Below are 25,788 nucleotides of genomic sequence, written 5' to 3' on the forward strand. Positions count from 1 at the left end.
TGGCAGCCTCGTGGCCCCCAATGCCGCTGGGTCAGAGCCAACAGGACAGCCTGGCCTCACGCTGAGGCCACAGCAGGGCGGGCTGGGGCTCACTCCCTGCACATTGCTTGCACCTCTGCTCTCAGCCCCACGCTTTGTTTCTAGGGGCCCGGAAGCTGCACACTCACTTCCAGAACTCCCGTGCCTACGGGCGCCTCAGCCAGCTCTGCCGCAGGAGGAGGGGCAATGCTTCTTGCTTCCAGTTGGCATCGGCGGCCCCTCCGGTCAGGGCAGGTGTCCTCGCCCTGCTGGGGGCAGCCCCTCTGGTCAGGGCAGGCATCCCCACCCTGCGGGAGGCGGCCCCTAGGGTCAGGGCAGGTGTCCCTACCCTGCTGGAGGTGGCCCCTCACCAGCACATCCAGAGCCAGCTGCAGCTCTAACAGCTCGGCAGCACAGGCTCCATGGGCAGCAGCAGCTCCTGTCACCAGGAGCACCCTCCTGCCCTGGCCTCCCCCAAGCCTGCTTCTCCCTTCTGCTCTTCTGGCACCTCGGTAGCTGATTCCTGGTGTTAAATCTCCTCTGTTGGAACATGTAGACCAGCTGGTTTTCCTTATAGGACCCTGACTGGCAGACCTACTGCCCTTTAGCGAAGTCAAGAATCAAAGAGCACCTCCAAGCCAGGTATAGGCCAGATTTGCTTCTGTGACATGTCCCATGCGGACCCACCTGAGTGTGACCACCCCATCTTACTGCAAATACAGGTGACAGCCCCAATGCAAATACAAACACAAATACAAGCACAGGTGCAAATGCAACTGCAAGTTCAGATGCAAATGCAATTTGCAGCTGCACCCGAGACCAACCCCTCCCCACCACAGATGCACACGCACACATACTGACATATTCACACACACATACTGGTGCAGCCCTGCAGCTGCACCCCTGAGACCACCCCCTCCCCACCACAGATGCACACGCACACATACTGACATATTCACACACACATACTGGTGCAGCCCTGCAGCTGCACCCCTGAGACCATCCCCTCCCCATCGCAGACACACATGCACTCATACTGGCATATTGCAGAGCACCGTGTGGTAGCATTGTTTTTAACTGCAAATACCTGAACTCAACCTAGATTTCCATGGATAGTTATGAACCTTCCAATGGGCTGCCACTCAGCCGCGGGAAAGGCTGGGGCTGTGTGGCAGTGGAGAAACAGCTCTGACGCATGGCATTTGCTGAAAAAAGCAAAAGTGCAGAAGAGCACTAGCGGTGAGCCCGCACCTCCGCATAGAGGCGTAGGCAGTGCTTGTGCCTATTTGCTCATTAACGCACAGAAGGATGCACACCGCGGTTGGCCATGCTGCTTGTCTCGATGGGCGGGCGGGGACCGGGTAGAAGGAAGGCTTCACAGAATAGATACCCTGCGGTGCCTTTAGAACTTTGAAGCATATGCCACTCTACAAAATACATGCAAAAATGTGCTATTTATTCAAGGACTGAACTTGAGTAACATGATTATTTCACAAAAGACCCTGGCACTCAAGGCAGGCAGTGGTGAGCCGGCAGCCCCCTCGGCGAACACAGCTGGCCCAGGCAGCTTGGAGCAGCAGTAGGAAGACTCCCTGCTCGCTGTAGACCTGAGCTCAAGCCAGAGGAGCCAGGCTTCCGAGCACCGGGGCCCTGAGGCCGCTGGAGAGGGTGGCTCTCCCACCCCTGGAGTTCCCCAGAGACCTCGTCTGGGGCCGGCGCCTATGCCTGCTTATTTGGCCATAATGAATGGGCACTCCCTGGAGCAGATGTGCCTAATAACAGTCCAGCAAGACTGCCTCAAGAGCCACCTCTGGGACACACTTTAAAGCCACACTGGCCACAAGGGACGCTGGTGATCCCGTGGTCTGCAGAGCTACCTGCTCAGTCTATTTATGTCACCTCACTCCCAGCCAGCCAGGGGAGGCCAGGGGAGCCCCTCGATGACTAATGTCACAGCTGCCACCAGGGACAGGCCCTGCAGCAGCCTGGAGGCCTGATGTGTCCATACCAACGATGGCCGTCAGCAGGGGCTGTGTGGAAGGACAGAGCTGCTGGGGCCTTGGGAAGACAAGAGACCGGCTGCCGCCTGTAACTGCTGGCCTGGCTGTGGGCTTTTGGCTGAGGTCTGCAGCCATGCACTGGCCACCGTGTTGTACAGGAAGAGGACTTCTCACTGGTTTCCACAGTCTGTGCACCCTGACAGCGGGTTGTCTACTGGAACCTGGTTCAACGTCTCTTGGTTGAAACCTTGGTGGTGCCAGGGCTTGAAAGCCCTTTCCCCGGAGGGCTCCCCTGTTGGCTCTGACTTGCTGTCCTCGGTAGGTGAGCCTTCCTGCCCGTCCCGTCAGCTCGAGGCCCACAGCCCCTCACCCCTCTTCCCAAGAGCACCCTGACACAGTCACACAGAGACCCGCACCGCTGACTTACGGACAGAGAAACGCGCATTGCTGACTCTGAGCACAGGTGGCCTGGCTCCTGCACAGACCCCCCACCAACCCAGTCTCTGGGCACACACTTCAAAGAGCCTGCCAGGGTTAATGCCACTTCAAGAAACCGGTGGCCTGGGAGTCTAGAATCTTCTGGCTATCAGTCAGCGGTGCCTGCCTGTAGGAGCCCAGGCCCTTAGCAAACTCCTAGGCTCTGTGCTTTCCCACAGCGAATCTTTAGCACTAAGATTCAGCTCCCAGCCTTTCATCGGTTGTGTATGTCTTTCCTGGCCCAAATAATATCGTGGTGGGACACTAGATAGGAGCCTGTCCCCAAATAAATGAGTTGCAACAGTAACTAGTTAGTTACTTGTAATTAAACACACAGAGACAGACTATTATTATTATTATTTTGAGACGGAATCTCGCTCTGTCACCGAGGCTGGAGAGCAGTGGCGCGATCTCAGCTCACTGCAACCTCCGCCTCCCAGGTTCAAGCGATTCTCCTGCCTCAGACTCTGGAGTCGCTGGGACTACAGGTGTGCACCACCAGGCCTGGCTAATTTTTGTATTTTAATAGAGATGGGGTTTCACTAGATGATTTACCCCTTTTAAAAACAATGCACTTGGCTGGGCGCAGTGGCTCATGCCTGTAATCCCAGCACTTTGGGAGGCCGAGGTGGGTGGATCCCTGAGGTCAGGAGTTCGAGACCAGCCTGGCCAACATAGTGAAACCCCGTCTCAAAATAATAATTTTGAATCTCGCTCATCAGAGCGAGCTTCTGTCTCAAAATAATAATAATAATAATAATAATAATAATAATAATAATAAAATGCACTTACAAGGAAATCAGCAAAGCTAGACCCCCACCTACTCCCGCCCCAACACCTTTAAGAAGAAAGATGCCCTCAAAGAAGGGGGGTGTCCAAAAAGGGCAGGACAAGAGCTCCCCAGGCCACATCGCTTTGGGACGTGGGGCGGGGGCTGCAGGCTCTACACAGCTTCAGGTTTCTCAGGGCTCCACCATACATCGGTTCCAAAGGCCCCTCTGCACAAGGAGACTGTCTCCTGCATGTATGAGTTATCTTCTTGCTTTGCCTAACAGGGTATTATAGCTTCGATGTCTTTCGTCACTGGCACAGAGGTTTTCTAACATCCGTCTTCGTGGCCTCCTGGTCCGGTGGCAAGCATCCCAAGCTCCGCTTCACAGATGAAAAAGCTGAGAGGTTAATTAAACCGTTTGTTGTCCCACGCAGAGTCAGCTTTGGGGCTGGGAGCCACCACAGGACCTGGCTCCCCACGACACCGGCTGAGCCCGGAAGCAGCTGAAGGTTCCAGGACCCTCGGGGCAGCTCCCAGGCCGGCGAGGAAGAAGCCAGGGTGAAATTTGCGGAATGGATTTGTTTCCACTCTTGGAATTCGTGATCACTTTGCTCCTCTGAGTCTCTAGGAATTAGCAATTGTGCCATCGACCAAATTAAGGTGCAAATTATTTGTATTGTTAAACGACTCCAGTTATTACTTGGAGAAAATTTTGCACTTCAATTAACAAAAGCACACATGGGGCAGTTTCTGAGCAAAGCCAGATTTTATAACACTCAGAAGAATGAGGTCCGGCCCCGGGCCTCGCCGCCCTCCTCCTGGCTTTCAGCTCAGCCTGTCCCCTGGCAGTGCCAGCAGCTTATCCGCAGGTCCCCGAGGCCACCCGTTCCCTTCGCACCAGAGCTCTCCCCTCTGTTCTTTGAGAAGCAGGAAGCTAGATGGATCCATCTCAAGGGGGATCCCCCAGAAGCAAAGCCTGAGAGAAGAGCTCTTGTGAAAGTGATTTACTGGGGGAATGGTCTGGGTTTTATGGGGTGAATTGCATCCCTCAAATTCCCATGTTAAAGCCCTAACCCTCAGTGCCCCAGAATGTGGCTGTTTTTGAGACAAGGTCTTTCAGAGGTGATTAAGGTAAATGAGGTCACTAGGGTGGGCCCAGATCCAGTATGACTGGTGTCCTTATAAGAACAGGAGGAGAAGACACACGGGGATGCCAGGGGCCTGCTTGCCCAGAGGGACAGCCCTGAGACAGGGCAGCAAGAGGGTGGAGTCTGCGTGTCCTGGAAGGTGGGTGGGGGAGTGGGGGAGAAAGCAGCCTTGGGGGCCTGGATCCTGGACCTCCAGCCTCCAGATGGTGAGAAATCAGGTCTGCTGTTGAAGGCCTCAGGGTGTGCTATTTCAGTTTAGTGGCTCAAGCCAACTAAGACCAGGGGAAGGGGCTGGCAGCCAGGGAAGACGGCTAAGCCAAGATGTGGGCGGGAGGGGAGCAGCGGCAGGGTCCTGGGGCTAGGAGCCTGAGCTACATGCCAGGTGGGACCACCCGTCCCAAAGACTCACGGCTGTGAGCCCCTAGCAGCTTACGGTTGCAGTGGGTGATGAGTCCTGGGGAGAGGGATGGGAGTGGAGACCCTAACAGCACCTGCCCCTCCGCATTGGACGCTCAGCCAGCAAGATCAATGCAGAACTCACGGAACAGCCAACCACCAATCACCGATCAGCCAACACCCTGGCAGAATTATCTCAGCATCTGGATGTTGGCACCACAGGGACCTCAGGCTGCAGAGAACAGGCTGGCCTATGAACGGAGACGGTGCCTGAGCTCGTGGCTGCAGAGGACAGGCCAGCCTGCGAGTGGAGACGGCACCCGAGCTCGCGGCAATGTTGCGGGGAAGCCAAGACCAACCCCTGCCCGTGCCCGGTTTCCCCGAGGCCCCGTGTCCTCAGAGCGCGTCTCGTGGTTCCGGGCTCACTGGCTTCTAAGTCTTCTCCTTCTGTCCTTCTGTCTCAGTCTCAGCCTTCACTCTTCCTTCTCTCAGGGAGAAAAATAAACCTCTGTGGCTGGCGTTTGCAAAAGGGAGAGACTCTTCCTGAGGAAATAAAATAGATTTCAGTCAATGAATATGCAAACTTGAGGCAGGCCAACACCCAGGAGTCAGGGCTGGGAGACATTGGAGCCCAGCAGCCCCCTGGCCCGACGCCCACACAAAGCCCATTTCAGCCAAAGGTATCAGGTTGTTCACTGTGTAAACACACACCACACACACACACACACACACGATAAGCAACCATTTTGGGGGGCAAGTACTGAAACTCAAAACTTGTTAGCTTTCAAGACCTGAATTCAGCTGCAAGAGGCTTATCCTGGCTTTTACATTGCAGCATGGTTTTTAATTTTATTTTCTACATTTTTTTAAAATCAGGCAGCCTCCAGAATCACAGAAGATTCAGAGAAACTCCCAACAGCATGGTATTTTAAAGCAGGAAACAGGTCTTGGCACTTTTTTGACACCATGGAGTCCTGAGTGGGTGGTGGCCATCACGCTGGGTGCAGACCCGAGAGCAGAACCTGGGGTCTGCAGAGAACCTGAGCCGGCACCCAGAGTGGCGGGGGAGGCCGTGCCAGGAGAGCCAGCCTTCCATAGAGCTTGGAGAGGCTGGTGTCACAGGGGAAATGAAAACAGGACTTCAAAGAGGGAGCGGGCAGAAGCCCCTGCAGGGGATTTTCTGGTTCCTAACCTGGAACAGGCACCGGTTCTGAGGCACACAGCACGCAGCCTCTGCCTTCACCATGTGCTGTCCACACGTCCCGAGCCCCTGGCTGCCCAAAAGAGAGTCACCTGCCCGGCTAAACCCACACCCCAACCCTCCCTGTCACTGGCTGCTGCTGGGGGTCCATTCACCTCAACCCCATGCTTAGCAGTGACCACCCTGGGCTCTTGTAATGGATCCTCATGTCAGCCACTGTGTGAGAACCTTTCCCCGCAGTGTTATCCCAGTCACATGAATCAGGCTCTGAGTGAACGCGTGTATTCCTTGGGTGCCTACTTAGAGCAGAAGGAAAGCAAAGATGCTCACCGGGTAGCCAGGAGCGCCGCTTCCCTGCCCATGCGCCATGGTGTGTGTGTGTGAGCTCAGGGCACGCGGGCACACACGTGTCCGTGGTTCCCACAGGAGGAGCAGGGCCCTCCTGAAACCCAAGAGCCACATCCCCAGGAGCCTCGGGCAGATGAGCGGGAGGTACCTGGGAGCTGGAGACAGGGCCGCCCCTCGCGAGGACGGGCTTTTCCGCCTCACTTCTGCCTTAGCGGCATTGATACCACGCGCATTCACCTCTCCGTGCCTCGGTTTTCTCACCCATAAAGTGGGGGCTCGCTCTGCCTGCCCAGTTGCTGTCAGATTGGGCCAGGCCTGTACAAGCCCACATGGGGACCCCTGGGTGACTGCGCTCTCCCACCTCCCCTCCCACCCTTCCCGCTGCGGGACTCCACACACCAGGCCCACCGTCACCCCCTGCTCTCAGTCTCCAGGCACAGCCAGGTGTGGGCGGTGCATGGCGGGCCCAGCGGTCAACCGCGGCAAAGGTGGTTCCCAGGTCCCTGTGTAGCGGGGGTCCCGTAGCCCCATTGACTGCAGGTCTTGGCTGGGCCAAGGCCATAGAGCAGCATGGCCAGCACTCCTGTTCCATCCTCTGCATCTCTGCTTCAATTGCAAACAACAGCCACAGTTCACATCTGGATCTGTGTGGTGCCCTTCAGTTTAAAACCCCTGCCCAGAGGCCATCTCCTTTGAAACTTCCCAGGCAGGTGTCAAAACGATCCTCCCTCCACATGTCACAGAAATGCAGCAGCAAGAAGCCCGAGGCCTCCAGGAGGAGCTGCGGGCTGGCCCCACCCACAAGCAGCTGCGGGCTCACAGTCACGGTCCTCTGAGGACAGGCTTGTGCTTCCCACTCCCCGGTGAGCGGGCACCACGGATGTCAGTGCCGTGACTGGCCTTTGTGCTTTGGATAAACTCCATGTGGAATGGAAGGAAAGATGGGAGCATTCTAGAACCTGAGCATTTTGTAGCAAGAGCACTGTTCTCACCGCTGATTTCCAATGTCCAGGGCAGAAAGATGAAGAGATATCGTTTTCCCTTAAATGGGAGTGAAGGACAGAGGCAGCGTGGTGGCCGGTGATGGACAGACCCGTGTCTGCTGGCAGGACACCCCGGCCGCCTCCGTCTCATGGATAGAGCAAGCAGTTTTCTCTATGACGTGGCTTCTTTAGGAGGCAGCTCGGCTGCCCAGATCCCTCCTTATTTTTTAGTTCTCAAGCCCTGTAGGGTGTTTTCGGTCGCAGTTGTTTGGGCTGTGGTCCTGACCCTCCTGAGTTCCAGTGGCTCTGTTCAGGAGAGCTGCCTGGGGCCGGGACTTCTGAAACACACACTGAGCCACAGGCCGGCCCGGCGGCTTGGGTTCACCGCCGCCTCTTTGTGTGTGATGTCCTGGGATAGGCCCGTGCACGTTCAGATGACACTGTACATATAAATAACTTGTAGCCGAGAACAGGATGGGGCGGGGAGGAGGGGAGGGCAGAACGTACCACAGCAGCAGAAGTCACTGTGGATGCCTTCGTAAGTTGCATGGAAGGTTTTTAAACCTAGCCCTGCCGAGCAGCCCTCTCCTGGTCCGGGAGAACGATGGGGAGAGAGCTGGCGTTCAGCTTTCATCACTGGAGCCGTTCCTTCTTCCGGCCCCCCGAGGGCCTGTCCATGATCACACTTTGTCTTGTTTCGGGGGTGGCCCCTGTGACCCCTTAGAGGTGCAAATCCAAGGCAGTAGAAGCCGCCTGCCAGGCCAGTGCCCGCCACTGCTTAATTCAGGCGGAATCACGGCTCAGAGGGTTCCCTCCACTTTCCAAGGGAAACATGTCCACGGGGTATCTCTTCCTGCGTATTTTCTCACGACCCTTCCTTACATCCAAGGCCACGTCTCTCGACACGTTGTCCCCCCTCTGCCGTCACACATGGCGTAATCCGCGCCCCCCCTACCCCCCACATCAGCTGCTCAGCGAGCCGCACTCACAGTCACAGGCCCCGCCGGCGGCAACCCCACCTCCTCCCGCCCAGGCAGGAAACGCTCAGCAGCACCATCTGCTTGGCTCCTCAGCCAGCCGCGCTCCGGGAGCCCTGGGGGCGAGGCGGCCGTGGCGTCCTCCACGTCTGTGTCTCCCCGCACGTCAGCCGCCCCACGCTGTCTCTGGAAGCTTCCGGAGTACCCAGGCCTTCTGCACTCCACGCACTGCATGTGCGCCTGAGCCGCTGTCTCGATTTTACAAAACGGAATCTAGCAGTCCATGCACTCAGGGAGGCGGCTGGCAGGATTTTCTGGCAAACTAAGGGTGTTCTTTCCTGGCCAAAGGAAAAGTCTTTTGGAAAATGAATAATCTCTTCCTAATTTGCTTGACTAGGAAGATGGGTTTTTGCACAGTGGGTTTGTTGAAGGGAGGCAGCTCTTGAAATTTTGTTCATAATCCGACATGACAAGGGTGACCGTATAATCTACCGACCCATCTGAGCCCCTTGAGAAGAAAGGAGAAGGTTGTTAATACACGCACTGGGACCACAGGCATCACTGGGCCTGTCCTGGGCAAACTGATTTATGATGGCCGCCGTTGACCTTCGCTGTGGTCAGCCTAAGTGACCTCAGCGTGCACCTGCCATGATTTCCTGGAATCACTCTCTGGGTTCCAGGCTTCTAGGCCTGTGGTTTTGGGGCTGGTTTCTCTGAATTCTCAGATCCTGGTCAGAAGTTTGTGGGCAGATTGGTGTCTGATGAATGAGGGCCGCTCATTCAAGAAACCAGCGTAGCAAATGGGAGGTGGTGCAGGGTCTCTCTGCGAAGCGCTCAAGCCCACTTCCCTGCCCCCACGTGTCCTGATTTTACTTTGAAATTTCCAGTGGATGCAATAGTGCCGACCATGTGCACATGGGGTCAGGATCTCAGGCCCGCCAGCTGGACTACAGCAAGTACCCATGGTCTCAGGGAAAAGGTCCCCTGCTGCAGGCTGTGGGGGACCTCGGCTCTCACAGTGGCTATGCCTGAGAAAGCCCCTCCAGACTCGCCAACCTGGCCCGCGCGTCCTGTCCGGAGGGCAGGGTGGGGCTGGTGCTGGTTACAGATGATCCTCAAGGGCACAGCACGCAAGCCACCAGGCGCCCCTCCTGCAGCTGGGTCAGAGAGAGGCACTGGGAGCCTGGCTCCCTCCAGGTCAGTCTCCACCAGGGCCACCCCGGTGACCTGCAGGAGAGGAAGGCAGACGAGGAGTGGCCCTGCCCCTTAGGGCGCATCGTGCAGGTGGCACAAGGGGGTCATCTGCATCCTGGTCAAGGGGGAGCCCACCTGCCTCCTCCAGGTCGGGAACACTCCCTGGAGGCCATGGTGTGGAGCGTCCACCCGGGCTTCGTCCTCCAGCTCAGCTGCTGGGCCCTGGGAAGGGACAGGCCCAGCACCCGTTCAGCCGGGCTGAGCCGCAGGCAGAGCGCCTTGCCTGGGAGAGACAAACCCACCGCTGAGGACACACCCTCAAGGTTCACCCTTCCCCACTTCTGTGTTGCCCTTAGCTCTAAGGTGCTAATTCCATCTCTAGTTTCAACAGGCTGATTGCTCTTAAGGGAAAATGGGGTTGCACAATCCGGCTGTGGTGGCCGGGGCTCTTGGTCTCCCCCCAGTAAGAGGATGGACTTTCCAGCCCTGCTGATGGTCAGCGGGGACCACGTGGAGGCTTTGGCAGATGAAATGGGGCACATGACATAGCCCTGCCCCAGTGGAAGCCTCAGAGCCATGGCTGGGCTCCACCAGGCTTGCTCCAGCGGCCATGAGGACCATGCCCCACAGGCAGGGGCTGCACCTCCACCCTGGTTCCAGAAGGAAGAGGCACAGCCGACATGCCGCTCGAGCAGGAAACCCTGGGGAAGGTGGGACATGAGATCCTGTGTCTGATACTACAGTGTAACCGGCTAGAAACTGACTCAAAGGGGCATTTTTACAGCAGAAAGAGGCGAAGCACACGTGCATCTGCCATCCTGTGATTGTCAGGCCCCGTTTAGGAGTGGACAGCTCCATGGTTGTGTTTGAGCCCCACACCGGCCCTGGGGGGTTATACTGCCCTGGAGGACAGCTGACCTCAGTTCTCCAAGCTTCCATTCCCCCTTGTATGGGCACAGCACCCCAACCTTCTTTTGGCAGCTCCCACGCCCCCCAGTGCTGGTGGGCTCTAGGGCTCTGGTCCCTGATGCTCAGAGGCACAGAGACAGCATTCCTCAGGGGCCCTGATCCTCTGGCCCGGTTCAGACTGTGGTGGGGCCTCGGGACCTTTCCAGAACCTTGGAAGTGGGTAGCACCCTTTGCTGGGACAGACATGCCTGGAGCTCCGGGCATTGGGCCACTGCTGGGATAAGCCCACGACAGAATGAAGCCGGGCAGGCAGAAAGAGCTGCGGGCTCCCTGGCCACTCCTGTTTCCGTAAAGGGCCTGGTGTCTCATTTCCTACTTACCTTGGACTTTAAGGGCCTCCTGCAGCCTTTGTCACACACTCTTCTTATTTTTTTGTCCATTACAACCTTTTACGGCGGCACAAGCCATTGTTCTCAGGGCCAACGCGTGAGTCCTGTGGTGAGTTTCCTATTAGTGTGGCTCGAGAAGGTACCCCGTGCTGACGAAGCCTGGAGAGGCAGGGCCACACTGCAGAGCCTCAGGCCAAGGGTGGCGGTGCTGGGGTCTCATGAGCCCAGGGTTCACTGCCCACCAGGCGGCATTAGCCTGCGGCTTTGGCGCCCAGAAGTCCCGACAGGCAGCAAAGTCTCCTGCTCCTGGCTGCTGGCCAGGAGAGCCCAGCTGGGCCTCACCTGATCGAGAGGAAACGCCTGTGTCCTCTAATCAGCATCTCACTGACAGAGTCACCCCTGGTACAGCAAGTGGGCTTTCAAGGACATCAGGTGGCTGCATTCAGGCTGGTAACAACACCGCCCTCAGCTCTCACAGTCTGAGGAAGCCCCCTGAAAAGTCACTGGAGTGGGGCTGCAGGAACCCCACAAAGGCCTTTCCTGCTCCTGAATAATTCCCAAGCACCTAGGACTTCCCGGGCCTGGCTTCTCCGCCAGTCCAACCTCCGGACCTGAAGACCAAGCAGTGCCCAAGTGTGAGGTCCCTGGAGAAGGAGGAGGAAGAGTGGAAGGAGGTGGAGGGTAATGCATCCAGAGGAAGACGCTGAGGGTCAGGCTGGCCCTGGGTCTGACCTGTCCTTGGGGTGAGCAGGCTACTGCACTGTGGGAGTGGGGGGGCCCCTAGGCAATTGGCCAAGAGGTAACTGATGCAGAGAGAGGAATGCTGAGGCCACGGCCATTCTGGGCCTTCATGGCCATAGCTCGTGAGCACCCATGGGTGCCAGCACTGAGGCCAGCTGGGCTCCAGCATTGGGAAGCTCAAGGAAGACCAGTCACGTTTCCCCTGAGTAAGATGCTGCCCTGGGGCTTGTGGGGCCACAGACAGACACCAACCCTGGCGCTCTTAGGGTCAGGAGGGGTGGCCCAGGGTAGCACAGCGTGGAGAGACCACGCGGAGGTGATGTCCTCACAGACCCCGCCCCACTCCCCCAGGGGCCATCCCACAGAGCCTTGCCTTTGTTTTTTGTTTTTTCTATTCCTGGCTTTTTTCATTTGCTTTCAGATCAACTGCTTCATTAAAAAACATCCGCCTAAACTGTGGAGACAGAGGAAGGATCAGTGCTTGCCAAGGGCTGGGGGAGGAGGAACAGGCAGAGCGCAGAGGGTTTCAGGGCAGTGCCGCTCTGCGTGACGCCATCACGGAGGGTCCAGGTCATCACACGTCTCTCCAAACCCCTAGAATGCCCAACACTCACTCTGAAGCCTTCTGTCAATGTGGGATCATCTGTCGTAAAGTCTGCACCGCTGTGGTGGGGGCGTGGATAGTGGGGGAGGCTGTGCGTGTGTGGGGGCAGGGAGTGTATGGGAAATCTCTGTACCTTCCGCTCAATTTGGCTGCGAACCTAAACTGCTCTAAAAAAAGTCTATTTTTAAAAAGCATATGCCCGAAAAGTCCTTGAAAATGCATCTTTCCCTAAATATTCAAATTTATGTTCATTAATAAAATAGCACATATTTATTCTAATTTTTAAATCTTCACAAATATCAGTGATTGCATGATTTGTTCTCAAAAACACTTTTCCAAACTACATCTAGAAGCCACATTTCTGTGGTCGGCTCGCCAGTGGTGGGCACGCGTCAGGTCGGATGGGTAGGGCCTGGGGTGACCCTGGCTTTCTGCCCTCTGAGCACGACATGGAGGCTGGACTTGTGCCTCTGCAGCCCCTCGAAGCACTGCCACCATCCTGCCGAGGGCCCAAAGCCTTGTCTCCACCTGCGCGCCTTGAGTGTCCTCGCTGGGAAATGGGCACAGCAGGGCAGCGAAGGTGCTGGTGCTGACGTTCCATGACTGTGAGAGCCGGGAGGCACCCCATGCGGAGACCAGGCACAGATCCCCAGATCACTGAAGGGACGATCCCCCAACAGGCAGAACCAGGGTACGGCCCGGGGTTCTGACTCCTGGGGATTCAGGGCCCTGGGCCTGGTGCCAGCTGGGCACGTTTCTCAGCCCATCAGAGGACACAAAGGGCAAATGGAGCAGGTTGAATTGTGTCCCCAAAATGATCTGTCGAAGCCTGCACCCCACAACCATGAATGCAACCTTCTCTGGAAGTGGAGTCACTGCAGGTGTATTAAGATGTCAGTTAGGATGAGGTCACCCTGGAGAGAGGTGGGCCCTGATTCGGTGCGACTGGTGCCTGGTAAGCGGAGGAAAGACGCAGAGATGCGCAGAGGGAAGCTGCGTGAAGGCCCAGGAAGGAAGGCCTGAGAAGCTGGAGGCAGAGGCTAGAGCGATGCCTCTGCAAGCCAGAGATGCCAAGGGCTGCTGGCAACAGAGAAGCCAGAAGAGGCAAGGAACAGATTCCTCCCTGCAGGGAGCACGGCTCGACACGCCGCACCTTGATCGCAGGCGTCTGGCCTCCAGCCGGAGCCGGGACACGTTTCTGCTGTTGTAAATGACCCCATTTGTGGCCGTCTGTTGCAGCAGCTGTGGGGAACTGGCACCGATCTCAGGGCCGGAAGCACAGCTGGGCACGGCTCTCCCCAGCTCTCTCGGTCACTGTCCCCTGTCACAAACCCCGTGCAAAACAGCCTGAGGGGGTTCCTTGCTGCCCTCCAGGGCTGTGTCTGAGTGCTGAGCCAGCCCCTGGAGGCCAGGGCCTCAGAGCACAGGGGAGCCACAGGAAGGGGTGTCTCCACCCGGAATTGGAGCAGGAGGGCCAAGGCCTTCCAGGCTGAGGAAGGGAACAGGATCAGGGCCTCCTCCTCTCAAGGTGGCCCCTGCCAGCGGCCCCTGGAGCTGCAAGGCTACAGGGACCTGGCCCCAGGTGGGGCTCCTGTCACCCCCCTGCACGGAACTCACTCTCACCCCCAGCCTTTCCTACCCCTCACACCACCACCCTGCATCCCACCCCAAACTGGGTAACCCCCCAGCAATCCCCCAGGGACACAGAGAGGAGTACCTGGGGGATGACTGGGAGGAGTGCTGGGGAGAGGAGTGCTGGAGGATGACTGGGGGAGGAACAGGGAGAGGAGTGTCTAGGGGATGACTGGGAGGAGAGCCGAGGAGAGGAGTGCATGGGGGATGACTGGGGGGAGGTTGGCCAGGAGCACCTCAGTGGCCGCTCAGAAGTGCTCAGCTTCACTGGTGCTTGAGCACTTCCAGTGTGCCCAGAATGAGGAGCACATTTACGAAGGCAGCAATAGAGATGGTGGCAGCCTTCATCAGAGAGATGGGGTCCTGCCCAGGCCTCATAAGGAGGTGCGTGCTGGCAGTGACAACGGGGACAAGAGGGGCAGAGATGAGACACTGGGATGCAAGGATTGCATTTGAGCCCGATGAAGAAGGAACTGTTGAGAGTATCCCACAGTTACAGACCCAGAGTGGGGGCATCCCCATGGCTCAGGGAACCCCAGCTTCAGAGACACACACAGCGTGCAAGCCACATGAGCAGGCCGGGATACCCCTCCACCACGTGAGCCCAGCAGTCACCAGGGCATTTTGGAAACAGCGTGGTCTTGGTCCCGAGCTGCAGATACACAAGATGTTCCCAGGGGAAAACTGAGTGAAAGGTACATGGAATCTCTAGATTTTTTTTTTTGCAACCTCCTGTGAATATGTAATTGTTTTAAAATAAAAAGTTAATCAGACCAGTATGGTCAGTGGTGTGACCATGTGTGTGTATGCATGTGTATGTGTGTGCGTGCATGTGTGTGTGTCCGTGAGTGCATGTGTGTGATGTGTCTGTGCATGCGTGTGTGCATGTGTGTGCATGCATGTGTGTGATGTGTCTACATGTGTGAGAATGTGTGTGCATGTGTGTGATATGTGTGCACGTGCGCATGTGTGTGCATTGTGTGATGTCTGCATGTGTGTGCATGTGTGTGATGTGTCTGCATGTGTGTGATGTGTCTGTGCATGCATGTGTGCATGTGTGTGATGTGTCTGCCTGTGTGTGCATGCATGTGTGTGCGTGTGTGCATGTGTGTGTGCATGTGTGTGGGCTGATGGCAGAATTTCAGGAGCATGGCTAATCTGACCCATTTCAATCAAGTCCATAAAAAAAAAAATGATTCTGGAAAGACACCTCTATGGCAAACCACGAAAAGACTTGGTGACAGAACCACTCAGCCATGACACCAGGCTCATCCCAAGGACAGTGGTGACCCGTTTCCATTTGTGCCACTTGATGTGGATGGAGGCAGCACAGCGAGACAAGGGCTAGACACACACGCATGTGAGGGACGGGATGAGTCATCGGCACACGTCCCTGTTACCGTCACTGTCAGCCCAGAGCTGGAGCCCTGTGAGGCAAGATGAGGGGCAGATGAGAGCTGAGAGCAGAAGGAAAGAACCGGACGCCCTGGCAGAAAACACAGACCTGGGCGGGAGGGCAGGGGGAGCGCAGGGGAGAGGCAGGGGCTGCAGGGTCGAGGCGTGGAGGAGGCTGTCAGGAAAGGCTGCTGTACTTTCTTGAATGCAGCCCCGCTGGCCAAGACACAGGAAAAGACAGGGTTTTATTTTAAAATGCTCTGTGTCAGCTGGAATGGGGGTCTTGGATGAAACCTGCGGGGACTGGACCTCACAGGGCAGCCAGCAGTCGGTGTCACAGCAGCTCCACAACTGTTGGGATACCAGGTTTTCTTGGTGGGCAAAGTTTACTTTTCGCTCCATCTCTCAGAGCACGAGCCCCTCTGACAGGGCAGACACCGATGATCTCAGCACAGCCTTGGCACTGCTTGGCACAGCTGCGTGGGGATCGTGCGTGAAACTGCGACTTGACTTTTTCCAAAGCCCCAGGATTCCCCTTGCGTGGGAGCCTGGTGCTGTGCCGGTGGTCACCAGCCTCACTGCCCGCCCACTCCCCACCCTGTGGCCTCTCAGTGTCCCCTCCAGCACACAGGACCCGGCTCAGTTGCTCAGAGAGAGATTTTTCCAGCAAGGCGTTTGCAGGCGGCCTGGCCGTGCTTCTGACCCACCGGCAGGTTTCTGAAGAGCCGCTGCAGGCTCTTTCTTGCAGGACATGAAGCCATAATTAGTTTTTCCTTCCTTGCCAAATTGGGAGCCTGCGGGTCTGGTAGCACTGAGGAAAATACAGCTCAGTGTATGGCTGAAGAGTGAGCCCAGGGCACACGTGTGTGCACGTGCGTGAGAAAGAGAGAGGAGACTGAGAGGCAGGGAGCCTCTTCTCTGTGGATCTCACCTGTCTGTCCACGCCGCACGCCCCCCGGCAGCACCACTTTCAACACCACTTTTCAGAGCTAAAAGAGTCATCTGTTTTGCTTCAGCAAAAGAAACGTCAGCCTAGAAGCTTTAAGCATATTCCCACAATGGGCTTTAATTATCAGAGAAGGTTGGCAATACGTTTGCATTTTAATTAAGATTAATGAATCATGCATGATTCATCAGGCCGTTCCCCTCCGTTGGCGGAGCAGTGATGAGAAGGCCACCATGTCGCTGAGGGGCCATCTGCAGGGACGGTGTGTCAGATCCGAGAACCCCACTCAGTGGTCCCTCCCCTGGGGCCCCAGCGGCAATCTGTCCTCATACACGCTGCAGCCACGCCTCAGCCATGTGACCTGGGGGTTTCTGCTTCTCCAGAAAGGGCGTACTGGGTGCAACTACACACACACTTACCCTGTAGGTGCCAATAAACGCAACGTTAAACAACAAGTCTATGGGTAAGTAAGTTTGAGAAATGCCAGTTTACATGAAGGTGAGCAGAGTTGTGTGTGTTTCCCTGCAGGACTCCTCAGGCCTTTAATACGCACATGTGCGCTGTGAACCCCCAGATTCATTTGCACACAGAAGCTATCCTTCCAGAAATCACCTTTGGGATTAGTACAGTATTCCCTGTAAACCAAAAATAGAATTCTAAGCCCCCCAACTGCCTGAATGGCTCCCCTACTCTTGGCCAAGGGGATCCCAAAGGAACCTGATAAACGAGTTCAGGCCAGGATGGGAAGAGGTAGGGTTGGACATGCCTCATAATACTCTCCTCCCTCTCTGGAGTTTAGGCACAGCTGACCAGCATTAACATGAAAACAGAGATCATAAGACTGGCAGAAAAGACTCTTTGTAGCAATAAGACACCAAATTCCACCCTGACTCTAGTATAGCATCACATGACTGATAGCAGGCCTGGAAAAAAATAAAAGTACTTTACCCCAAAATATATTTCTCTGACATATTTTGAAATGGCCCTGCAAAGCTGTCTCTTAAGGGGGAAATTTGCATTCTGTAGAGAATTCCCTGCCCTTAATAGGTCTTTTACAGAGAGTCTGACACATTTTAAGGTCCCATAAGAGACATTTGCCATCTAGTCTCTCTGAAGCCTGCTATCTGGAGGCTTCATCTACATAACAAAAACCTTGGCTTCCACGATCCCCTTGTCTTAACTCAAGCATCTCTTTCTGCTGACCTCAAACTTTTTAGGCAAAGCTCAGCTCTTTCAACCAATTGCCAATCAGGAAATCTTTGAATCCACCTATAACCTGGAAGCCTCTCACTTTCTGGGTCACACCAATGTATACCTTACATGTATTGATTGATATCTTTGCCTGCAACTTCTGTACCCTAAAATGTATGAAAGCAAAGCTGCACCCCAACCACCTTGGACACATGTTCTCAGGACCTCTTGAGACTGTGTCACAGGCCATGGCCCTTAACCATAGCAAAATAAGCCTCTACATTGATTGAGACCTGTCTCTGATATTTTTTGGGTTACACCTCCAAACCAGGAATTGGTGATCCAGGAAAACACTCCATTGTGGGGTGATTTGAGTGGGTGACAGAAGCCCAGGCCAGCCCTCCAGGAATGGATGCACACTGGCACCAGGGATGCTTGCATAGAGATGGGGTTGGGGGTGTCCTTCTGAACACTCCCACAACAACCGGGCGCCAGCTTGCATCTTTGCTTGACGTGGCCGTCGCCCGGCTGGCCTGTGAGTGCTGCATGGGCCACGCCTGCATGTGGCTTGCTCACCGTGGGATCCCCAACACTTCTGGAGGTGCCTGGACCACAGTGGGTGTCCCCAGACAGCCGCAGAACACACAAGGGAATGTGCATTCAACCCTCATCTCCTAAGGAGGCTGTGGCCCACCCTGCTTGGGATGGCAATGGAGGGGCCAAGTGTATGAATAACCCCCCAAACCATTAAAACATCAGCGTCCCTCAAACAACTTCTTGAGATGGGGTGTGTGAGGCTCACTACACGTAAGAAACATAATGAATAAAACACAAAGGCCATTACAACCCACTTAATAATTCAGGGACTATGAAGATAGCTGGCGTCTATGAATTAGAAAATAAGGGAATTCTTCTGGGTGTGGAGGTAGGGGAAGAGGTTTCTGCGTATTCATTCCGCCCCCTGCCATGTGGGTATCTATTGCACCGGGCTGGAGGTCTGGGTCTCAGGGCTTGGGGAGCTGTTCCTGCACCTCTGCCTGTCCCCACCACCAGGCAACAAGGTCAGTGTGGCCCACCAGGGAACCACACCAGGGCCAGCAGCTCCAGGCCCCATCTCCCTGACCCCCTGGCCAGACCTCGGGAGATGAGAGAGACCCAGGCCTAGCCAGGGCGGGAGGTGGGGAGGGGTTGGGGGATCATTCAGGGCACAAGGGGAGGAGGAGAGAGCATTCTGGGGAACGGGGTCTGGGGAGGGAACCAGGACAGAGAGGCATGGTGACAGCTGGAGGTGAGTCTGGCAGGGACCCCTCAGAGGACAGCAGTGGTGTTTACCCCCACAGTGCGGGCAGCCTGTGGTGAATGACAGCAGTGGGGCTTACACCCACAGTGCGGGCAGCCTGTGGTGAATGACAGCAGTGGGGCTTACACCCACAGTGCGGGCAGCCTGTGGTGAATGAGTGTGTCTGGGCCTCCCCCGGGGGCTTCGGCACCCGCTTCCCTGTTTCACCTTGTCTATCTGAGCATCGGTAGGAAGATGGCAATACCTCTGCTGAATTTCATCCTCTGAAAGGCGGAAACCAAACCCTCAGAGCCAGGTGAAGCCAAAAAGAAGGGACCCCTGACGGCTAGAAAGAGCGGCCCCAGAGCCGCACCGTGGGATGAGCCAATGGCACGTCCCGGTCGCCGGCCGGGTGTGGTGCTGCCCGGAGCCACAGAGCTGCCAGGGCTTGCACACGTCTCTGGCCATGACGCATGTTTTGGTCAGGACCAGGCCTGGAATTTGGTTCTCACTTTACTGAGAAACCTGGCAGCTTCTCAGGCCACCGCCCAGGTCACCTGCTCACCAGCAACGTGAACCACAGGAACGGAGGCTGTGCGGGAGGCGGCTCTGCTCTGTGCTGGGCCCCCCTCCTCCTCACTCACCCTCTTCAGTCAAAGAAAAAACGAAATGGGGCCGCATAAGAGTAATGCAAAAGTCAACGTTTCTGGATTTTCAAGTTTTCCAGACAGAGCTGGAAACCTGGGTTTCATGTCAACTCTCCCACGTGGTCAAGAGTTGAAGTCCTGGCCTGGCCACTCATCAGCCTGGGACAAGCTCCAGACTTGCTCCAATTAGGTTTAAGAGCCTTGACAAATGGTGGTGTTTGCTGGGGACGGAAGTGGTTGGGGGAGGAGGGGCTTTCAGTGAAGATCCGAAGTTCCTGTGAGATGTATCCAAGGACTGATGCCCGTGAGATGCCAGGACCCTGGGGCTCCGTCGTCCTCAGGCCTGGGCCCACAGGGCTCTGCACCAGACCTTGGAGCCCCTGGCCCAGCACACCCCACTAGCGGGGCCCCTGACCCTGCCCCACCCAGGCTCAGGACCCACTGACCGTCTGCTGGGGCCAGTCCCTCAGCCACATCTTCCAGCCCGGCCACCTGGCCCCTGCTCGGGCCAAGCGTTCAGACTACAAAGGTGTTTGCTGTTTGTCTGAAATTCAAACTGAGCCGGGCATTTGTGGTGTCTTCTCTGTCACCCCATGGAGGACCCCACTGGAGTCTCCGTTCTTAGGATCTGTAGGAGGCCATGACCCAGGCAGCCGCGGCTCACCCCGCATACAGGCAAAAGGAGAAAGCTCCAGCTCCAGCAACCTGAGTTCACCTTGGCCCTCCTGTGCCCAGAGGCAGGGCTCTTACAGTGAAGGGTCTGTGCCTCTTCCCCAGGCAGGCGTGTGTCTTCCTCGGCTTCCTGTGGTCCCTGTCTTGTGCTGGGGACCCCTCACAGGCCTGCTGGCCCTGGGATCCGGCTCTAGTTCAGAGGAGGCTGCCAAAAGGCAACTGGGCTGCTCTGAGCACAGGGTGAATCTAGTCAGGGGATGGGGTTGACAGCTGCTGCCTGGGATGGGGTTGACAGTTGCTGCCTGGGGTCATCTCTCTGGGGGACCCTCCACCACCAGTGTTGCTGAGTGTTTCACTCCTGGTCCCTCCGCTTTTCCCAAGAGGGATGCTCCAGTACTCCAGGGGTTTAAACTTGGCTCAAATTGCACCAGCTCCCAGGAGGACCACCAGCATGTGCAGAGGTCACCCTCTGGCTCCAATGGGGGCTCTTGTCGCCCCGCCACCCTGCCCGCACTCTGCGGTCACCTCTTCAGAGTGACCATCCCCTCTGTTGGAGTGGGCAAAGGAGACGTTGTCCTGGGGCAAGGGGTAAAGGAGACTATCTGGCCTCCTTGCGAAGTGGCCTGCGGCCCCCGCCCACCCAAGCTCCTGAGCAGTGGGTGGTGTGCGAGTCTTGCCCTGGGAGGACCCTGCTCCACCCCAGGCAAGGACCTAGCACCCCCAGCCAGGACATCCGCCTCACCTTCCCGTCCACAGAGCAGCTTCTCCAACACCATCCGCTCTTCCTGGGCCATCCTCCTGTCTCCCTCCTTCTGTGCCGATTTCTGCCTTTCGAGGCCCTGTCTGTGATTTTATAGAGTTTGGGAGAGGAGTGGGAGAGGAGCGAGAGAGGAGCAGAGAGGGAACCGGGCATTTGGGTTTTGCTGGGAGCACATGGCCGGCTCCCTTCTTTCTGCTATGTCCATCTGTTCCCTCATGGGACACACAAGCACCTTCCTGATGCCTGGGGCAGAGGTGGCTGGAGGTGGCCAGGGTTTCAGCCAGGGTCATGTGCCCATGGTGGCTGGTGAGGAGCGGTGTCTCACAGTGACCCTCCCATGCAGCAAGGGCCCCACTGTCTATGGTGGCACCTCCACAGCCGTGCATCTGACCCCTGGCCTCAGCACACATCCTGGCCATCCACATGCTCAGGGGTGCTGGGTCTCCCGCTGTGTCCCCGGGCCTAGAGCTCATGATGCTCGCAATAACGTATGAATGGGAGGAGTGAATTGGAGCCGGGGTCAGCCCAGAAGCCGGGACTGACCACCTGGAGATCAGGTTATAAAGCCACCACACAGGGATGTCATCTGAGTGTCCACTGACTCCTGGTGAGTGTTCCCACTGCCCCCGAGGCACCCTTTGTGGTCTCTGTCACAGAGAATCCAGCCTGCTCCGGGGGTGATGAAGCTGAGTTTGGGGAATGCTGTAGCCACTGTGGGCTGTCCTGGGCCTCTGGCTGGGCCCAGCGTCCTAAGCCCCACCACGCAGGGCACGTGACGTGCATTGGGTTGTGTCTCAGTCTGGTTTGTTTGGCTATAAAGGAATACCTGAGACTGGGCAATTTATAAGGAAAAGAGGTTTATTGAGCCCGCAGTGCTGCAGGCTGAGAAGTTCAAGGGTGTGGCCCTGACTCCCACTGAGGGCTTCCCAGCTGTGTCACACCACGGTGGAGAAGCTCAAAAGGGGAGAGGACACCTGCCAAGAGGGGAGATCCCGAGGGCCCAGGCCCCAAGCACCCTCTGTCTTTAGGGTCACCCTTTCAGGCAGGGTGGGGACCCCTGGGGAGGGCCGCCCACCGACCGTCCACCTTAGGGCCAGTCTCAGCCCCATGCACGATCCTCAGCATTGATTCGTACTGGTGGCTTGGAGACTGAGCTTGCGTCTAGTGAAGGGTCCTGTGTAGGCGGCCGACTCCCAGGCCCCACGCCCAGCTGGGGAGATGAGGAATGGAGGCTGCCATGGGTGTCTTCAGGGACTAGCCTGGCAAACCTGCACACTGTGCCACATGGCGCTCACAGCGCCTGGCACAGGCATCACCGCCTCCCACAGAGGCACTGAGGTCAGCGGGATTAGGCTCCATCCAGGTCAGAGGGAGAGGGGGCAGAGGCAGCTGGAACCCCCCGAGCCATGCCTCTCGAGGTCACGAGCTTTCAGCCCCCAACATAGAGAAGAGAGGCCTCCCCAACTCGTCCCCCATGCCAAAGGCCTCCAGGTGCTGGGAGAGTGACCGGGGGTGAGCCCAGGCCCCTAGACTTCCTCACTATCATGGTTGGTTGGTGCCGAGCCCTGGGTACCTGGCCCTGGTGCCAGTAAGGGCAGGAAGCCCACGGGCCTTGCCTGGACTCTGAGGAGGGGCCCTCCGCATCAACAGCTCCCCAGCCCCACAAGCTTCACTGGCTCCTCCATAACCCACTGTCATCTGCCCACCTCCTGCAGGGATGAGGCACCTGCGGGCCCTTCCCTCCGCTCTGTCACCCAGTCCCCATCGGAGCCCACCGGCTCAGCCCGCCTGCCTCCTCTGAGCTCTGCAGGCAGATCTGCCCTGCCCCCTACTCCACCTGCATGCTCCCAGGGCCTCCTTGGGAAAGCCCCACCTCGCAGCTCCCTGTGCACCTCCTGTATGGTAGGATTGTTGGGGTTCTTGTCCCTCCCTTTCCCTGAGGGTAGGGAATGTGTTTACATCATTCCGAGACTCCTGTCCCAGCAGGAGGTCAGGGACACACCCCAGGCCCCTGCAGGTGCTGCGAGCGAATACAGGAGGGGCTCAGGTCAGCAGGCTCCGCACAGCAACCAACCCAGGATCACGGGAAGGGTGTCCATGGACCCCTTGCCTCAGTTTCCATGTGCATAAGAGACTGAGGTAGCCAATGAACGCTCAGGGCCCCTTCTAAGTCCCGCCAGTGGCAACAGGGTGATGGGTGTTATTCAAGTCATCATCTCCACTATGTAAAGGTCACCCGCCACCCTCCCGTTTCCGGAATCTCCGCTGGGTGGAAACCAGCTTTCCTCCCCCCACCCTTCAAGGCTTCCTCAACTTCCAGATGGCCCCCAGGCCGTGGTCCTTTCCACAAGGAGGGACACACTCCCTGCATTAGGAGGAGGCCATCTCCCTCCAGCAGCCCCAGGTAGGGGCAGAGATAGTCATGGGTGCAGGGCCTGGCAGAGGCCGGCCCAACAGCTGAGAGGGCCCTTTCATTTTTTTGTGGTTTTTTTTTTTTTTTTGAGACAGTCTCGCTCTGTCGTCAGGCTGGAGTGCAGTGGTACAATCTTGGCTCACTGCAACCACCACCTCCTGGGTTCAAGAGATTCTCCTGCCTCAACCTCCCAAGTAGCTGGGTCTACAGGCGCGTGCCACCATGCCCAGCTAATTTTTGTATTTTTAGTAGAGATGGGGTTTCACCATGTTGGCCAGGATGGTCTCTATCTCTTGACCTCGTGATCCGCCTGCCTCGGCCTCCCAAAGTGTTGGGATTACAGGCGTGAGCCACCGTGCCCAGCTGAGAGGGCCCTTTCTTAGGATCACCGCTGCCAGAGGACACAGCCATGGCAGCCATCAGGCCTGCTGCAAACAGAGCTGGCACTGAAGGTTTTCAAGCCCTCCCATGACAGAGTGCACAGTGGTCGAGGGTTCAGGTCACCCCCACCAACCTTGGGGCCAGAGGGGATGGCCTGACAGCCACCCCCAGACCTGGCCGCAGGATTCTGGCAGCAGCCTCTCCTCAGTGAAACCAGCAGACGAGCCAAGGGCCGTCCCAGTCACCAGCAGTTTTGGGTCCCATGCACACTTGGGTCCCTTGTGCACCTGTTGGGGAGGGGCATGCACAACTGAGTCCCATGCATACCTGGGTTCCATGCACACCTAAGTCCCATGCACATCTGAGTCCCATGCACACCTGGGTCCCATGCACACCGGGGTTCCATGCACACCTAAGTCCCATGCACACCTGGGTCCCATGCACACATGCACACCTGGGTCCCATGCACACCTGGGTTCCATGCACACCTAAGTCCCATGCATACCTGGGTCCCATGCATACCTGGGTTCCATGCACACCTAAGTCCCATGCACAACTGGGTCCCATGCACACCTGGGTCCCATGCATACCTGGGTTCCATGCACACATGCACACCTGGGTCCCAAGCACACATGCACACCTGGGTCCCATGCACACCTGGGTTCCATGCACACATACACACCTGGATCCTATGGACACCTGGGTCCCAGGTGCACCTAAGTCCCATGCACACCTGGGTCCCAGGCACACCTGAGTCCCATGCACACATGCACACCTGGGTTCCAGGCACACATGCACACCTGGGTCCCAGGCACACCTGGGCAAGCTGCTGGCTGCAGTGCAGGCAGTGATGACAATTCTCCTAACCAAAGACCCGCTGGCACCAGCCTCGTACTTGATGATCCTTCAACTCTTTGCTGAGCACCTTCCATGCACGGCCCTCGGGGGAAAAGCCCTTGATGGAAGGGAGGTGGGCGCTAGAGACACAGGTGAGGAAGCCAAGCCTGTTCAGTAGCGATGGAGCTACAGGGAAAATAAAGCGGGAGCCCTGGGCATGGTGGTTTAAATAGGGAGGTCCTGCAGGAAGGTCCTGACATGCTGCTTTTGGGCAAAGACCTTCAGGCTTGGAGTGGCATGAAGCCTGGGGTCTGCACGTCGGGGAGCTGCTGCCTCTGAGACAGACCCCAAGCAGAATCAGATTCGGGGTCCCAGATCCCCAACCCGCCACTGACGGTGACTCCCAGGCCAGGAGTGAAACCCACGCTCTCATTGCCTTGATTTCTCAGGGGGCTTCATGAATATTTTGGTGTCTGGGGCACCTGTGGACAGTGGAGGAGGGGTGAGGTTGGCCCTGTGTGAGGAGGAGTCCAGGAGAAACCTGCGGTTACGCAGCCACCTTGGCCTGCCTGACAGTCAGGTTCCGCCTGAGGCCACAGTGAGATTGTGGTACGGGACCTTCCTGCTCGGTGATCCTCTGGAGGTCAGCTAGATGTCCTCTAGAAAGTCCGGCAAGGCCTGGAGTTGAGTGGCCCTGGCTAGTGTCCCAGGACCGGCCCGGGCCTCCCGTGGAGGAAAGGGTGTCCAGGAGGGGAGTCGGGGCAGGGACATACAGGGCATCTCCGACCTGGAGGAGGTCCCCCCGCTGCAGAGGTCTCTGGGGATGAAAGCGGGGAGTCCCTGTCTTGACCACACCTGAACCCTACAGGAGGCTTCAAGGGCAGGTGGGCGGTGGGCTGAGGGGGTGCTGAGTCTTTGGCCTCTGAGGCGGTGCCCCATCTGTGCGGCACTGGGGGGCTTCAGATCAGCCTCCTGGCAGCCCTCCCTGCTGACCCCTCAAAGCTGTCCAACCTCGGGGGTGGGGGTCCCGAGCCCCCTTCTCTAGAAGCCCCTTGGCCCTTCCTGGACTGAGGAGCAACTTGCGGCTCTCCCGGCCCTGCCCTGTGTGTGACGGGAGGGGGACTTTGCCTCAGTTTTGTGCAGGATGGGTCACACCTGCGTCCAGAGAGAATGGGGCTGAGCTCTGCCCCGTTGACAATTATGCCCCAAAAGGACGCTGAGAATGTGCGAGTGTCTCTCCTAAAAGTGCTACCCTTTCCCTCGGCCGGGAGGGAGGGGGGCAGGCCAGGACTTGGAGGTACCGTGTGGGCAAGAGGGTTGTTGTCATAGCTCCTGGGTGGCGGGAGCAGGAAAGCTGGAGCCCAGTAGGAAGCAGTCCCCAGGTTCCCACCGGCTGATTCTAGGGTGAGGGCGAGTGGGCGCAGAGGAAGTGCCAGCCCTTCTGGGGAGCCCCCGAGGCTGTAGCAGGGCCAGCTGGA

The 25,788-nt window shown here is 57.2% G+C and overlaps 1 long non-coding RNA gene across 1 annotated transcript, besides 16 other annotated features; it reads right to left on the minus strand.

Annotated features, from left to right (window-relative positions):
• Positions 80-409: a silencer, noted in NCBI's record as "silent region_13359". NCBI's record gives its function as "represses an Ori minimal core promoter by ATAC-STARR-seq in GM12878 lymphoblastoid cells {active_cell/tissue: GM12878}" and the evidence as "EXISTENCE:reporter gene assay evidence [ECO:0000049][PMID:35858748]".
• Positions 1,760-1,809: an enhancer, noted in NCBI's record as "active region_18540". NCBI's record gives its function as "activates an Ori minimal core promoter by ATAC-STARR-seq in GM12878 lymphoblastoid cells {active_cell/tissue: GM12878}" and the evidence as "EXISTENCE:reporter gene assay evidence [ECO:0000049][PMID:35858748]".
• Positions 2,030-2,199: an enhancer, noted in NCBI's record as "active region_18541". NCBI's record gives its function as "activates an Ori minimal core promoter by ATAC-STARR-seq in GM12878 lymphoblastoid cells {active_cell/tissue: GM12878}" and the evidence as "EXISTENCE:reporter gene assay evidence [ECO:0000049][PMID:35858748]".
• On the minus strand, positions 3,923-8,217 carry LINC01679 (long intergenic non-protein coding RNA 1679). Its single transcript, NR_131902.1, has 2 exons — positions 6,760-8,217; positions 3,923-5,354 (listed from the first exon to the last, which is right to left on the minus strand). It is a non-coding gene; the product is annotated as a long intergenic non-protein coding RNA 1679 (long non-coding RNA).
• Positions 5,579-6,136: an enhancer, noted in NCBI's record as "H3K4me1 hESC enhancer chr21:44779591-44780148 (GRCh37/hg19 assembly coordinates)". NCBI's record gives its function as "activates a minimal SCP1, AML or CMV promoter by ChIP-STARR-seq in primed H9 embryonic stem cells {active_cell/tissue: H9 hESC(primed)}" and the evidence as "EXISTENCE:reporter gene assay evidence [ECO:0000049][PMID:30033119]".
• Positions 6,137-6,693: an enhancer, noted in NCBI's record as "H3K4me1 hESC enhancer chr21:44780149-44780705 (GRCh37/hg19 assembly coordinates)". NCBI's record gives its function as "activates a minimal SCP1, AML or CMV promoter by ChIP-STARR-seq in primed H9 embryonic stem cells {active_cell/tissue: H9 hESC(primed)}" and the evidence as "EXISTENCE:reporter gene assay evidence [ECO:0000049][PMID:30033119]".
• Positions 7,477-7,626: an enhancer, noted in NCBI's record as "active region_18542". NCBI's record gives its function as "activates an Ori minimal core promoter by ATAC-STARR-seq in GM12878 lymphoblastoid cells {active_cell/tissue: GM12878}" and the evidence as "EXISTENCE:reporter gene assay evidence [ECO:0000049][PMID:35858748]".
• Positions 8,307-8,456: a silencer, noted in NCBI's record as "silent region_13360". NCBI's record gives its function as "represses an Ori minimal core promoter by ATAC-STARR-seq in GM12878 lymphoblastoid cells {active_cell/tissue: GM12878}" and the evidence as "EXISTENCE:reporter gene assay evidence [ECO:0000049][PMID:35858748]".
• Positions 9,473-10,012: an enhancer, noted in NCBI's record as "H3K27ac-H3K4me1 hESC enhancer chr21:44783485-44784024 (GRCh37/hg19 assembly coordinates)". NCBI's record gives its function as "activates a minimal SCP1, AML or CMV promoter by ChIP-STARR-seq in naive H9 embryonic stem cells {active_cell/tissue: H9 hESC(naive)}" and the evidence as "EXISTENCE:reporter gene assay evidence [ECO:0000049][PMID:30033119]".
• Positions 10,566-11,765: an enhancer, noted in NCBI's record as "MED14-independent group 3 enhancer chr21:44784578-44785777 (GRCh37/hg19 assembly coordinates)". NCBI's record gives its function as "activates an origin of replication core promoter dependent on BRD2, BRD4, P300/CBP and CDK7 cofactors, and independent of MED14, by STARR-seq in HCT116 cells {active_cell/tissue: HCT116}" and the evidence as "EXISTENCE:reporter gene assay evidence [ECO:0000049][PMID:35650434]".
• Positions 12,009-12,687: an enhancer, noted in NCBI's record as "H3K4me1 hESC enhancer chr21:44786021-44786699 (GRCh37/hg19 assembly coordinates)". NCBI's record gives its function as "activates a minimal SCP1, AML or CMV promoter by ChIP-STARR-seq in primed H9 embryonic stem cells {active_cell/tissue: H9 hESC(primed)}" and the evidence as "EXISTENCE:reporter gene assay evidence [ECO:0000049][PMID:30033119]".
• Positions 12,688-13,367: an enhancer, noted in NCBI's record as "H3K4me1 hESC enhancer chr21:44786700-44787379 (GRCh37/hg19 assembly coordinates)". NCBI's record gives its function as "activates a minimal SCP1, AML or CMV promoter by ChIP-STARR-seq in primed H9 embryonic stem cells {active_cell/tissue: H9 hESC(primed)}" and the evidence as "EXISTENCE:reporter gene assay evidence [ECO:0000049][PMID:30033119]".
• Positions 14,719-15,276: an enhancer, noted in NCBI's record as "H3K4me1 hESC enhancer chr21:44788731-44789288 (GRCh37/hg19 assembly coordinates)". NCBI's record gives its function as "activates a minimal SCP1, AML or CMV promoter by ChIP-STARR-seq in naive H9 embryonic stem cells {active_cell/tissue: H9 hESC(naive)}" and the evidence as "EXISTENCE:reporter gene assay evidence [ECO:0000049][PMID:30033119]".
• Positions 15,005-15,064: an enhancer, noted in NCBI's record as "active region_18543". NCBI's record gives its function as "activates an Ori minimal core promoter by ATAC-STARR-seq in GM12878 lymphoblastoid cells {active_cell/tissue: GM12878}" and the evidence as "EXISTENCE:reporter gene assay evidence [ECO:0000049][PMID:35858748]".
• Positions 15,277-15,834: an enhancer, noted in NCBI's record as "H3K4me1 hESC enhancer chr21:44789289-44789846 (GRCh37/hg19 assembly coordinates)". NCBI's record gives its function as "activates a minimal SCP1, AML or CMV promoter by ChIP-STARR-seq in primed H9 embryonic stem cells {active_cell/tissue: H9 hESC(primed)}" and the evidence as "EXISTENCE:reporter gene assay evidence [ECO:0000049][PMID:30033119]".
• Positions 19,160-19,660: an enhancer, noted in NCBI's record as "H3K4me1 hESC enhancer chr21:44793172-44793672 (GRCh37/hg19 assembly coordinates)". NCBI's record gives its function as "activates a minimal SCP1, AML or CMV promoter by ChIP-STARR-seq in naive H9 embryonic stem cells {active_cell/tissue: H9 hESC(naive)}" and the evidence as "EXISTENCE:reporter gene assay evidence [ECO:0000049][PMID:30033119]".
• Positions 20,778-21,311: an enhancer, noted in NCBI's record as "H3K4me1 hESC enhancer chr21:44794790-44795323 (GRCh37/hg19 assembly coordinates)". NCBI's record gives its function as "activates a minimal SCP1, AML or CMV promoter by ChIP-STARR-seq in primed H9 embryonic stem cells {active_cell/tissue: H9 hESC(primed)}" and the evidence as "EXISTENCE:reporter gene assay evidence [ECO:0000049][PMID:30033119]".

Source organism: Homo sapiens, chromosome 21 (genome assembly GCF_000001405.40).
Source record: "Homo sapiens chromosome 21, GRCh38.p14 Primary Assembly".
NCBI lineage: Eukaryota > Metazoa > Chordata > Mammalia > Primates > Hominidae > Homo > Homo sapiens.